Source organism: Homo sapiens, chromosome 3 (assembly GCF_000001405.40).
Source record: "Homo sapiens chromosome 3, GRCh38.p14 Primary Assembly".
NCBI lineage: Eukaryota > Metazoa > Chordata > Mammalia > Primates > Hominidae > Homo > Homo sapiens.
In genome coordinates, this window is record NC_000003.12 from 149,167,418 (window position 1) to 149,181,308 (window position 13,891).

At 37.0% G+C, this 13,891-nt stretch overlaps 2 protein-coding genes across 13 annotated transcripts in view; one reads left to right on the forward strand and one right to left on the reverse strand.

The window, feature by feature from the left end:
- The window catches only part of HPS3 (HPS3 biogenesis of lysosomal organelles complex 2 subunit 1), a 44,095-nt gene extending 37,780 nt beyond the window's left edge, over positions 1–6,315 (forward strand). For 2 of the 4 annotated variants that reach the window (NM_032383.5, NM_001308258.2), the window contains 2 exons: positions 476–566; positions 4,678–6,315. In NM_032383.5, the coding sequence (NP_115759.2) occupies positions 476–566; positions 4,678–4,805 (219 nt within the window). In that variant the 3' untranslated portion in view covers positions 4,806–6,315. Of the gene's footprint in view, positions 1–471; positions 567–4,677 lie in introns of those variants that run through there. The other 2 variants (XR_001740328.3, XM_047449064.1) reach the window with 2 other exon arrangements.
- Positions 1–13,891, reverse strand: part of CP (ceruloplasmin) — a 59,416-nt gene that overhangs the window by 5,004 nt on the left and 40,521 nt on the right. For 2 of the 9 annotated variants that reach the window (NR_046371.2, XR_427361.4), the window contains 3 exons: positions 12,139–12,245; positions 10,998–11,214; positions 10,423–10,562 (listed from right to left, as the gene is read on the reverse strand). Coding sequence is in view for 7 of the 9 variants with exons in the window: in XM_006713500.5 (XP_006713563.1) it covers positions 6,297–6,313; positions 8,821–8,995; positions 10,423–10,562; positions 10,998–11,214; positions 12,139–12,245 (656 nt within the window). In the remaining 2 variants the exon portion in view is untranslated. Of the gene's footprint in view, positions 1–5,079; positions 8,464–8,820; positions 8,996–10,422; positions 10,563–10,997; positions 11,215–12,138; positions 12,246–13,891 lie in introns of those variants that run through there. The other 7 variants (NM_000096.4, XM_006713500.5, XM_006713501.4 and 4 more) reach the window with 7 other exon arrangements.

Here is a 13,891-nt window from a genome sequence, read left to right on the forward strand (position 1 = left end):
TAAAATATATGGAGATGGTATATTATCATCATTAAACATCTTTTGTTTGGAGATGAAGTAGTTGATTACCTGAAGATTTGGGAACAGTGTATGATGGGAAAATATTTTCTCTGCCATACGGTTTTTAGTTTAGAAATTAGAAGAATTTTGGACCTTAGTTCTTTTTTTTCTTCATTCCTTCCTTCTTGCCACATAGGAGATGATAACGGGATATGTCTGTTACTTCTTGAAAATAGCCATGTACATATGTACAATATATGTATTACTGGGTTTTCAAGTTACGAACCTGACTTTTACGTTATAGTTAAGGCAGAAGACTGGCTGCTGATATAACTTATGTTATAACAAAGTTAGCTGCCTTAGACAAAATGATGTATTTTTGCTCTGTGCTTTCCTGCACAATCTTCTTATTCTCCTTTGAAATCTGAGAATAAAATGCATCAAACTAAAATTTATTCATTTTTTCCTAAGATAGACTCTGTGGTGGAAAAAACTGTTGCCTGAACTTTGTCAGAGAATAAAATGTGGTGGAGAGAAGTATCAACTCTACCTGTCATCATTAAAAGGTAAAATGATTTTTTTTTTGCTTGATTATAAACTTAAGTTTCAGTTTTAAATTTGGTGAAGCCTTCTTAAGTATTTTCATGTGATTCTCAAGTGAAACCGAGGGCCTTTCAGAACCATCTGGGGAGCTTATTTTCAGCATTCACGTACCCTCCCCTTGACATTTGATATTGATTTATCTCCTAGTCACAGAACTGATGTTCTTTTAACTTAATCCTTTCAAACACTTAACAAATTATCACAGTCATAGAAAATGACAGCATCAGTGTTTTAAAATGTGAGTAGTCATTAAGGCAATTACATCTTTTATCAATGATCAGAGTACTTAATTTACTTCATGTAGGAAGTTAAGATCATTACTATTAAACATAATTATAAGCAAGTATTGATGAATAACAACCTCAAGGATTTAAAAGTTGAGTATCTAAATTGTACCGTATTTTACAGCATAGTAGTTATTTGAATTTTCATAATTCATAATCATAAATCTTGGTAGATATGTAATCTGTTTCTATACTGCTGTGTGTTAATATAATTAGTTGTTTTCCCAATGACAAAGGGTATGGGTATATCAATTGCAGAGCACATAAAATATTAGAAATTGACAGTGTTGAAATTGTGTTTTCCAGCCAAGACAGTTGATTTTTAAAATGTAAGGCCGAGTCAGTGGCCACTGGAGATTATTTTTCTGAAGATCCCCCTTTAATTAAAGCTGTATGCTTGTGATTGGGAAGGGAAAGGGGGAACTTTATTCTCTGTCCTACCCGTCTCCCTGATTGCTTTAGGTTTTCAGAAGATGGAAGTGTCAGATGTCTGATTACTTTGCCCCACTTGCATACACTTTACATAATTTATCACTGACTGTTTGTGTTAGTGGAGCACTTTCCAGTACAGACATCCCACATCTTTACACCTCAGCATCATCATTATCTTAATCAGAAGACTCTTTCTTCATCCTTTTCTGATCCACATCCACACACTCCACCCCAACTCACCCATAATCATTCCTCCAAATGTTGCATTTTTCTCTGTCTTCAAAATATATTTGTGTGCATACGTGTGTGTGTGTGTGTGTGTATGGCTAATGAGACTAAGTGCCATGTGTGATTTACCTTTATTAGACTGTAATACCTCAAGAGCTGGCATAGTGTTTTATTCATTTTTTCAAGCTACACATTCCTCACCAGCAATATGCCTCTCCTATAGGAAGCATTCTGTAACTGTTCATTGATTAGAAAGGGAGACAGCTGAAGAACTTTAGGTTCGTTTCACAGAAGGGTGTTTTCTTAACAGTTGTACACTGAAAAGAGCCCTGTACTGGGATCTGGAGAATTGGAACTGAGTTCCAGGTTTGCCACTTACTAAGTGTCCGAGAGCAACCCAGTTTTCTAATGTCGTGAGACTAAATGAGAAGTTCAGGACTGAATCAAAAGTTAAATGTTAGGCAAAATTGCAAGAGGGAGAGGTTGGAGATGAAGCTCAGGGACTTACATGCTTAGGAGTTTGGATTTCTTATCTCTCTAATACAGCATTTTTCAACCTTGGTAATTGTCCGTGTGCGTGGGGGTTTCCCCTGTGCATTTTAGGATATTAAACAGTATCCCTGGTCTCTACTCATTAGATGCCAATACTACTGCCTCAGTTATAACAAACAAAAATGTCTCCAGATGTTGCCAGATGTCCCCTGTGGGACAAAATTTTCCTGGTTGACAACTGCCACACTAATGCAGAACCATTAAAATGGGTTAGTGGATGGGTTGGTTGTTTTAGGGAAATATTCAGTACTGTTTTTGTAATGAACCAGGCTTATTTTTTAAAATTCTGGTACTGTGGTAAATTACAAAAATTAAATTTAAAAATCATTTAAAATCCCACCATCCAGAAATTTTCAACCTTTGACAAATATTTTCTAGACATGCTGGAAGATTTTAAGGGTACAGGTTTACATTTAGATATATCATTTATATGTAACTTGTAGATTTAGGTAGCTGGTGAGTGGAGTAGAGCAAGTAATTTTAACCTTCTCTTAGCCTCAATTTTCCCAACCCTAAATCAGGCCTAATACCCATTAGTTTACCCTATTTGGGATGGGGCTTGGATTAAATAAATAAAAACCTCAAAGGATTCTAGAAGGAATTAAAGAGAAGTTATACATGAAAGTGCTTTATTAATTTTTAAAGTACTCTGTGAATTTAAGATATTGACCTTCTTGGAGTGATAACCTGTATTAGCCCCTCCTTATTTGGGAGAAGAGGAGAATTGGGAAGTGGTGAGATTTTTGTTGACTCTATAACAACTCCACACTAGCTCTCCAACTCAGTTTTTTTGTTTCTGAGATGCTACTTACAGGCTCCACATTTAGGTAAGTAAACTGCTTTGATAGGAAAACATCAATAATTCATATTTTTCACATACATTTTGCAAGCTAGTTAGTAGTTGCTGTTTATTAAGGTCTGATTTTATGTCAGATGTGCATCATTGTATTTTAGCTTAATTTTCACGGGAACTGTGGAAGCTAGCAGACAGTACCACTACATTATAAATGAGGAACCTAGGACTTGGAAGATTAAGTGACTTTCTTAAAGCCACTCGGTGAGTTGGTGGAAGAGTCTGGATCTCTTCCCAAGTCTGTCTGGATTCCAGAACTAGGAATCTTTTCTATAAACCATTGCTGCTTTATTCATTAACTCTTTAGCAACAAAGGCAGTTCATTCTTTTGTGTAAAGAAAAATTTAGGTTGCTGTATATTGGACAGATGACTTTGGAATGGATCTTATATTTCACTTACTCTGCAAATAGAGTAAGCGATGGGCATGCAACGATCACACAGGGAATGGCACTGACATGTGGATAGAAGATGTAAGACCAAGTGGATGTTTATTGGGAACATTGTTCATAACTGTCACCCTTCTATTCCGGGAGAGGGCAGCATGTATCTGTTAAGAAGCTGTAGAATCATAAAGTTGCATTTTTTTTAATGTATGTTACATTCCTTAATATTTAAAATGTTCACTGGGGCCAGGTGCGGTGGCTCACGCCGGTAATCCCAGTGCTTTGGGAGGCCAAGGCAGGCGGATCATGAGGTCAAGAGATCGAGACCATCCTGGCCAACATGGTGAAACCCTGTCTCTACTAAAAATACAAAAATTAGCTGGACGTGGTGGTGCGCACCTGTAGTCCCAGCTATTTGGGAGGCTGAGGCAGGAGAATCTCTTGGACCCAGGAGGCAGAGGTTGCAGTGAGCTGAGATCGCACCACTGCACTCCAGCATGGTGACAGAGCGAGACTCCGTCTCAAAAAAAAAAAATATATTGTTCATTAGAACACCATTGCAGTTTGGGGGAAAAGGAAGTAAATGGTCGTGAAAACAGATTTGTGCTTATTAACAACATGAAATGTTACGTTAGGAACTAATACGGGAAAACATTGGTGTTTCTTATCCTATCAATCTTTATAAATTAGCTTAGTATAGACATAGCATTAAAAAGAATATTCAAATGATTGTACTTTTCTTTAGAGGATAGTAGAAATTGATTGCAAAATAATATAGTAATTCAGCAATGAAATAATAAATCCAAATTTCATGTGGCTGATATAAAATAACCTTCAAAGGATTCTAGTAAGGAAAAATAAGTTACAACCATAAAGAAGCCTATGGATTTAAGAGACTGATTTTTTTCTTTGAAGTTATAACATTTTGTTACCTGAACTGGCTTCTTTTTTTTTTTTTTTTTTTGTCCTGAGATGGAGTCTTGCTCTGTCACCTAGGCTGGAGTGCAGTGGTGCAATCTCAACTCACTGCAACTTCTGCCTCAAGGGTTCAAGCAATTCTCCCGCCTCAGCCTCCTGAGTAGCTAGGATTACAGGTGTGCGCCACCATGCCCGGCTAATTTTTTTGTATTTTTAGTAGAGACAGGGTTTCACCATGTTGGCCAGACTGGTCTTGAACTCCTGACCTCGTGATCTGCCCACCTCGGCCTCCCAAAGTGCTGGGATTACAGGCGTGAGCCACCACGCCTGGCCTGAACTGGCTTCTAATTGGTTGGTTAAGTAAGAAGAGATTGAATGAAAGACAGACTTTCAATTCTAATTCAGATATTCTTTTCTACACAGAAACATTGTCAATTGTTGCTGTGGAACTAGAACTGAAGGATTTCATGAATGTTCTCCCAGAAGATGGTACTGCAACATTTTTCTTGCCATATCTTCTCTATTGCAGTCGAAAGAAACCATTGACTTAAAGGTATCATTTGAAAAATACCATAATGGCATTTGAGACTGAATTTCTAAAAATTGAATGCCAAAGTACAAGTAGAGGAGTTTTTTATTTTATATATCACACACACACACACACACACACACACACACACACACATATATGATACAAATGCTTTCAGGCTGCTTACCTTACCGTGTAGTGGTAACTATTCACTTCTTAATTTATGACCTCAATCAATTTAATTGTCTAGAATGTAAAAAGTCTTTAAGACATAAGAATTCCTCAAAGAAGCCATACATTTTTTAAGGTGGGGATTGACTTTTATTCCAAGGAACAACATCAGTTCACTGTTGTTGGAGACATGACAATCATTTTCATCCCAAGAACACTTTAAGGAAACATTTTACAAGTATGCTTGAAAGAATGTCACTAACTGGTCCAGAATTTTATCTTCTTGATTTTTCCAGATTTCTCTATGTTTTTGAGAAAGATGTTAATGTTTTGCCATGGTAAAAGATTTCAAACCTCATTTTTTTTGTTCCTTTTCTTGTTACTTTTAAGAAAACTCATGCTCTGTTTCTCTGAATCAAATGAAGTAGAAGTTTACAAAGCTAACTTTCTTCTTGTCTAGCTATTAACATGATTTGTCAAATGCATGTTTTTTTCAGCCAAAGCCTTGTTTCCATTTTTGTTGATGTGTACTCTTGCTCTTTTAGCTAGAGTGTATGTGAAAATAAAGAAATACATCATTGTATTCACAACCATGTGTCTTCATTTATAACTTTTTGTTTAAAAAATTTTTAGTTCAAGTTTAGTTCATTGATATTATCCTCTGAATGCAGTTAAGGCTGGGCAGAAATTCTACTCATGTGACATCTGCCACAGGTCTATTTTGAAGCTTTTCTTCTAATGGCAATGTTTGTCCTTACCAGGATTTAATCTATAGAATTGTCTCTCAACTCTGCTTTTCTCCAGTTCCAGATAACGTCCTTAAGACCATCTGTTCAGGGGTTCACAAAACTCAAATTTGTGTCATTCTATTTTATTTATTTTATTTTTTATTTCCTTCCCTCATACCTTGCCCATTCCCTCTGAATATTAGGTGTGATGTCAACAGCATGTTAGAAGGATCAATGGGAAGGCAATGATTGAAAACATTTCAATGAACCTTAATAGTGTTCCTTTGAGGAGCACCCAGGAGAATATCTGGTCATAGATCTTTTTTTAAATGCAGTTTTATAAAACCCTAACAGCGGTGATATCATTAGACTGTATGAATCAGTTTTATTACCTAGTGTACAAGTGTCAGTCATGTATCATTATATAGTCTGTTGATCTTTCCATTTGCAAAAAATTAATAGTTTTCCCCCACAAATGTACAAAGTTGTATGCTTCCAGTCTTCTTTTAATGTTTATAGTCATTCCAAAGTAACATTCTATTTTACACTTTCACATACATTGTTATGAATCATTGGTTTTTCTCTTTTTTCCACTTATCACCAATTTATTTCATTCAGCCAGATTTGGTGTCTATAGAAAAAGAAATTTTAAGACCATTATTAAAAATAATATATGGTTAGAAATTAGTAGATGGTTCTTTAAATGTATTCCAATTTTTAATGTTACTTTACTCCTGATTCATTTATATTTTTCTGCTTTTTATATGTTTAAAAATCTCTCATTCTATTGCTGCTTTATTTAAAGAAAGATTACTTTCTTCCCTACAAGATCTTTATTAATTGTAAAGGGAAAATGAATAACTTTACAATGGAGACACCTGGCAGACACCATCTTAACCAAAGCTTGAAGTTAACATAACCAGTAATAGAACTGATCAATATCTTGTGCCTCCTGATATGGTGTACTAAGAAAAACACAACATCATGCCATGATAGTCTTGCCAAAAGTGCATAACCTAAATCTAATCATAAGGAAACATTAGACAAACTCAAATTGAAGGACATTCTACAAAGTGCCCTTTATTAAGGAATTATTCAGAGTAAAGGAGACTTAAAAGACATGGCAACAATGCAGTACATGATCCGGGATTTTCTTTTTCTGTAAAGAACATGATTAGGATTATTAGCGAAATTTGAAGATCTCTAGTTTTTAAATCATTGTTGCTTTTCTAATTTCGATCATTGTATTGTGGTCATGTACAAGAATATTCTTGTTTTTAGGAAAGATAGTTGTATGTGTATCTATACACGTCTGTGTGTGTACATATAGAGGGTGAGCATGAGAGGGAGATAGGGAAAAGAATGAGAAAGCCAATGTGGCTACGCACATCATTAATATTTGGGGAATCTGGGTGAAAGGTATATGGGAATCTGAAATTATGTCAAAAAAGTTTCAAAAGTTTCTCTTCATTGAATTAATATGTTGTTATACATTCAGTAAGCAAACTATTGTATTGGATTTGGGTACTTAGCTAGAAATACAGAATATATAGTCCCTGCCTGTAAGAAATTTAAAGCTAAGCAGGCTTTTCTAAGACTCATAATTAATGTAAACTTGCTCAAAGCTTTATTGGACTTATTTAAAGATGATTCAGACTGATAAACATGGCCACTGATTTTATGGGCCAAAGATAGTTCAAACTATCTTTTTTTATTCAGTCTGCTGCTTTCAGTCTCATGCAATACCTTTTCTCTTTGCAAAAGTCAAATTTCTCTTTAATTTTTTATCTAGTGTTGATTTTTACTTCATATTTGCTATTTGTTCTGTAATTTTTACTATAGCTTTAAAAACTATCTCGCCTTTCTTAACCAAGCAGTAATCTCCCTCTTCTTTCACGGTTGTTACACAGGAGGAATCTTCTCTGTGGCTGTGTGTGTAGGGTTACCCTGTAGTGCCATACTCTGCATGCCAGGCATTTGCACACATGAATTCCCCAAATGCCTCCATGTTACTTACTCACCATTATTTTTTTGAGCAAGACCATCCTTTTGTGTGGTTTACATGCAACCACATGTAACCACATGGTTGCAAGTGTTATTTAAAGACTAAAGTTTTCTTTCTCATATTTGGCTCTCTTCACTTTGTTCAAGTTATTGGCGTTAAATTTAGTGGCTTGTCTGTTAGAGTCTTTGATATTCTAGTGTTATCAGTGACTGCTCTAATAAAAAGGGCATTAATGGAAATAGTTTTTCATGATGTAAGTTGTTTGTGTAAGACCCAGGAGCAGAAATTAAAACTTTCCATTTGCACTAAAGGTTAACCTTTCAGGGCTTTTTAAATCTTCAAATATATTTACATTTATATTTTCTTCATTTGTATGTTCCCTTTTTCCCCATTTTAGGGAGGAAAGACATAGATTGGTTTTCTTTACATAATTTCCTCCCTTTGAATTTACCATTTCTAATTACAACAATCCTCAACTCGAAAGACCCAGGAAAGACCAAAGCCTGCAGCCACAGTGCAGGAATCTTACCAAAAAAACTGTTCATTTTTCTCCATTTTAAGTGTGTGTGTGTGTGTGTGTGTGTGTACCTACACATGGGGAGGGTTATTGCAGGGGTTGGGGAGCAGTGCATTTAAATTTTGTTTCTTCCCTGGATCTTTCACAAACAATTATCGGTAAGGTTCCTCCTTCCCCTTGGAAGCACAGAAAAGACACTGCCTATTTGAAATTATATTATTTGGGGTTGTCTTGGGCTTCTCTTACATGGAGGTGCCACCTAGAAAAAAAATTGTTTTTTGTTAAGAAAGAAATTAGATTCTAAATGTGTCTTATGTAAATAATGGTTTGTTTCTTGGTAAATAACATGACTACTCCCTTATATCAGCTTTAAGTATAATTACACATTTGTATTAACTTAGAAATGACTGGTGCTGTTACAAGTACTGGCTGTCAGGAAATGAGCAGTATCCCTCACCATTTAGCAGGAAAAAAATCCTGTTTGGAGGTAGAGAAGGAAGAAATCAGGGCAGCAGATTCACAAATGCTTCATATTGATGCATCATATTGGGGGAAGTATTTAGGCAAAGTAGTTCCTTTAGTTATATCTTTTATATATGGCTTCTAGAATTACTACCTGGATATTCACCTTCATTTTGTAGAACGGTGTAAGTGGTTTCCATTCCAGCATGAATGTGGTCGGTCACATGGCAGTGGAGTAACCAAATTCCAGGTGTTCTTGGAAACATTTCTAGGGTTTGGTATGTTCCAGGGAAAATGTCAAAGACATCAGAACTATAAACTCCCCTGTGCTTAATTAGAAAAATGACAAATAATGTATAATATTGTATATGAGAGTTCACTCATGTCATTTGTTAATGTTCAGCTCAGGGATATTGAAAAAATGGATAAATCTGTTTTTAAAAAATCGAGCTCGTTTCTGTGTTTAATACAAATGGTAAAATGTGGTTTTTGTATTCCTAATAAGTCTTTGGTATCCACATCAAGTGGGTGTGAAAGAAAGATGTGATGAGAATGAATTCATCAATCAGGACTACCTACAAACCTCCTGTACCTTGATTCTGGTTTGCCTGTTTGTCATAGCACTTAAGCTACACAAAAGGAACTCAGCTGTGGCCCCATTTCAGCCCTAGCCTCACTTTTGCCTGAATCTGTCCTAGCTTGTCTGAAGCTTTAAGTCAAGGTAAATAATAAAGGAAGCAGAAAAGGAGGCTGATGAAAACGACAAAAACCAGAGGCACTTCAGGGAGTCTCGGCTGGAAACAGTAGTTGGGTGACAATAGTCTATTTCTGCAAGGATAGAATTGAAAGCCCACTAAGAATACAATATATCTATGTAAAACAAAATGCAGGTAACAAAACAGGCTTTCTGCAGTATGCTTTTTGATAACTTCTGCCTTTTCTAAATTAGCCCAAAGCATAAGGAAAAAGCATTTCCAGGAGGGCCACTGGCTTCTGCTGAAATCAGTACTGAGAAAGAATAGAAGTAAGATTGAGATGTACAGACCAGTTGCTTGTCACCTAACTGATCTTGCTCACCATGGGCCATTTAAGATACAGAACTTAGAACAGGCAGGGCAAGGGTTATAATAAAGTCTTGTTGTGGTCTCTACTCTCATCCATCATTATGTGAACATTCCTACCCTCTTTGTTAGCAATTCCGCTCAGTTGCCTTAATCAGGAATCTGAGCAGAACTCCATGAAAATTCAGTTAAAAATGCAAATCCTAGGAAGAGCTCAATGTGTAACAAAGGCTAGTGTGTCAATTGAAATTGCTGTGCCTTATATAGGCATCCCTCAGTATCTATGGAGGATTGGTTTCAGGAATGCCCCCATACCAAAATCCATGGATGCTCAAGTCCCTTATATAAAATGGCATATTTCCATTTAACTTATGCACATCCTTCCATATACTTTAAATCATCTCTAGATTATTATAATACCTAATACAGTGCCTACATATCATTTCATTTGCATGGATTCAACATAGTACTCAGTGCAGCAGATCCAAGTTTTGCTTTTTGGAACTTAGTGGAATTATTTTTTCCTGAATATTTTCAATCCATGATTGAATCCTGGGTGGGGAATCCACGGATATGAAGCACCGGCTGTACTCTTTGCAGCTTTTTTTCATAAGTCTCTCTGAGAAAATATTTTCTTCACTTGTATTAAAACATTTTCAAACAGAGCAAGAGTAATTGCCATGGATAGCTCTTACCTTGTATTGGAAGCTATGGCCGTGAAAATGTACAGTGTGTAAGTCTATTTCATTGCCCATTCCCATCAGATACCAGTTGACTTCATCTCCCACGTGCATTGTGAGGCCTTGTAGGTTTCCAAACATTCTTCCATTAATAGCTAGGGAAAGCATATGGTTTTATGTTACTTTTCAGGATATTTTAAACCAATAGCTATTTCAAAGAAAATATGATTATTAGGTTAATGTAAAGAATCTTTTTGATGTAATAGGACTTATTTTACTACAAATGAGAGAAATGGATACTTTAAAGTCAATAATATCACATTGCTTTTCTAGGCACTTTGCACCAAAAGCCTTAATCTTAGTTTTGGATTATTTCAAAGGAAATGAGATTTTGGAATTGGAAAATAAATTAGCAAATGATTTTGAACATAGTCCCCTTTTTGTTTTGAACAGGATTCTACCTGACATACAAAGTGAGGCAGAAGTGGTTTATTTTAAGACAAAACAAATGAATGGTCTCCAAAATAATTTTATTTGAAAGAGAAAATGATAAAAAAGTAGAAAAATTGTTTTAGAATAATGTGACATACCATGCATTTTATTGCTTTCTATGAATTCCTCATCATCTTTGTTTACTTTCTCGGGGTGATCAGAGTATGTTTTGATGTTGTCATCTAAGTACCAAGATTCATTCTCATCAAAAACTAGAAACAGAAGGGCAAATTCCAGTTTCCTTCTGGGATTGAATACTTTCAAGTAAGGTCTTCGACAAACAATCAGGGGGCCAATTAATCCACTGTAGAGGTCCTGGAAACAAGAAAAATCTTCAGTAACCCTTGTGAATTAGGTCAGGATTTCAGAGAACTGAGACTTTGCACCCAGGGCCTCAGGAATTTTGGAGAGACCAATTGAAGTAACAGACTTTGCCCAATGTGGTACTGCCAATTTAGTAACTTTTCACTTGAAGTAGTTAAATTGGAACAATGGTGAGTAGTAGGTAGGTCATGTGGGTGATGCTGACATAACAGAAATGTCTGCAGAGGCAAAAATTAGCTCAGCTAATGAGCAGTGATTTTAAAAGAATCCCAAATGAACAGTGTTGGTTTGTTCCATAAACTCATGAACTCTTGAGTGTGAGCCAAGCGCTATGGCAGTCCCTAAAAATCCATAGATGAATGAAATGTGTAATAATAAATAGGACCACAAATACCAGATTTACTCATTTGTTTGAGCCAGAACACTGAATTATCAAGGAGCTACTTCCCCCGGCTCACTCAGGCACTTCACCCACCTATCTATAACCGACTCCATTTCTTTTCTCCCTCCTTACAGTAGAGGTCCTTGAAATTTGCCTCACGTATTACAACGGCCTCCCAACCTCCAGTCTCTTCCCCCTCCAAGCCTTCCTTCATTCCACCAGAATGAAGGATCTGAAATGCAAATATACTGCCATTCTTGGTCAATTTTTCAGTGGCTACCTGTGACCCACAAGACAAAAATCTAAACTTCCCAAATATCTTGAAAGGCCTTTGAGCTGTATCATATTAGGAAATGTTAGATTTTTGTCTTGTGTGTCATAGGTAGCAGCATAGTTGCTAAAGTAGATTGCAAACAGTTTATTTTCCTAGGATTTTAACGTAGAATTGGACCACAGGAAAACACTAACCTTGTCTTCCTTCAATTGTGTGTCTATTTTGGGAAGTGTCACAAAACAAATGATTTGTATTTTACCTTAACTTGATCCACAGTTGAATAATAAGCCCATGGAATACAAGCAGAATCCTCTGTTCCAGCTCCAGATCTTTCTGGGATTTTCCATACGTAAGTGAGAGTTTCACCTAAATTCATCAAGTGTTAATGGATCTGGTTGTATTTGGTTTATATTGTACACACACACACACACACACACACACACACACACACACAGCCTTGATAACTAGGACCCAGGAACTGGAAATGTCAGTGTAATTAGTTTTTAAAAATTGTGGTACTCAAGATTGTTTTCAGGAATTTAGTTTTAAGATGAACTGGAAGACAAAATTTTGTCATTTTTTGGGTTAATTTTAAATTAGCTATAACCCACTTGCCATACCACAAAGCTAGGAGGTGTGTACTTCAATATTACAATTTGAAAAAACTTTGCAACCAATCTCTTCTTAGCTTGAAGTGTGTTTTCCTAATATACTTTTTTCTCTTCAGATACCAAGTGATTTTTCCCCAGTGGCTGGCACCTTTCCCGTAATCTCTGCATGTGTGTATCTGGACTATTTTGTGTAATTCCCTCAGCTTCAGCATTGGCTTCCTTTCCTTGTCCTCTCTCATGATCATCCTTAGTGAGCTCATGATTCCTGGCGAGGAGCCGTTAGACCTCTTGATCTCATGAGTCACCGACTTGACACAGTTATGTTTACCTCCCCCTCCAGTCCATCTCATTCTATCACACCATGTGCTGTTTTGTCACTACTCCCACATACAGGACATAACCACACCCTCGGCCTTGGCATTTTGAAGACGACCAGTTGCTTCACCCTCCTGCTTTGCCAAGGCTCTTACCCTTTTCCCATGTGCTCTAGGCTTTTCTCCAGTCTGATCTGCGTTTCCATTCACCTCAGGGCTTCCTGTGCAACTGCTCACAGGCCTCAACTTTTGGCCATGCCCACTCACCAATCCCAGCCACACTCATTTTCCATCCCATTTATTTAGACCACACCATTACATATTCATGCTATCACACTAACCTGCCAGAGTCCAACAGACATTCACTAGAGAATCAAGCAAGACAACAGAGATGGTCTCAAGTGATGTGGTAGACGTCTTACTTTTTCTTCAAGCCTCAGTCTGAGCTGTTCCTATGTCCTCACCCTTTTTCTAAGCAGAAAATTTCACTAGAATATAAAGTATTGATTCACCACCTGCACATATTACTGTCTGGCCATCTCTGCTTTTACTTATTCTCATAAGCTGCAAAATAACATTTTCTTCTCTTTTCCACACCCCTTTACAACCTGCTCTTCCACCAGTGGTCAGTGCCCAAAACCTTGGGGTCATGCTTGACTCCTCTCTTCCCTAACACTCCCTAGTGCCCATTTTCCAGCAGGTCCTTTTAGTACCACCTTTAAAATGGAACCAGAATATGATAACATCTCACCACTTCAGCCGCTTCCACCATATTCCAAATCTCGATGATGATGATGATGATGATGATTTTACCCAGATTATTGCAGTGGTCCTTAACTGACCCCAGATTCTGTCCTTGCCCCCTTAGGGTCACTTAACCACACATCACCAACAGCCCCTTAAAAGGTGTCCATCAGAACATCAGTCTTAAATCTCGAGTCTGAGGTCCTCCCTACTCCATCTGGCCCCTGCTCTCCCTGGATCTCATCTCTAGCATTCTGTCCCTTGTGTGCTTTTCTTTAGCCTCTGGCTGCCTTGCTGCTGCTCACACACACCAGGCATTGCTCCTGTCTTCGGGGCCTAGAAT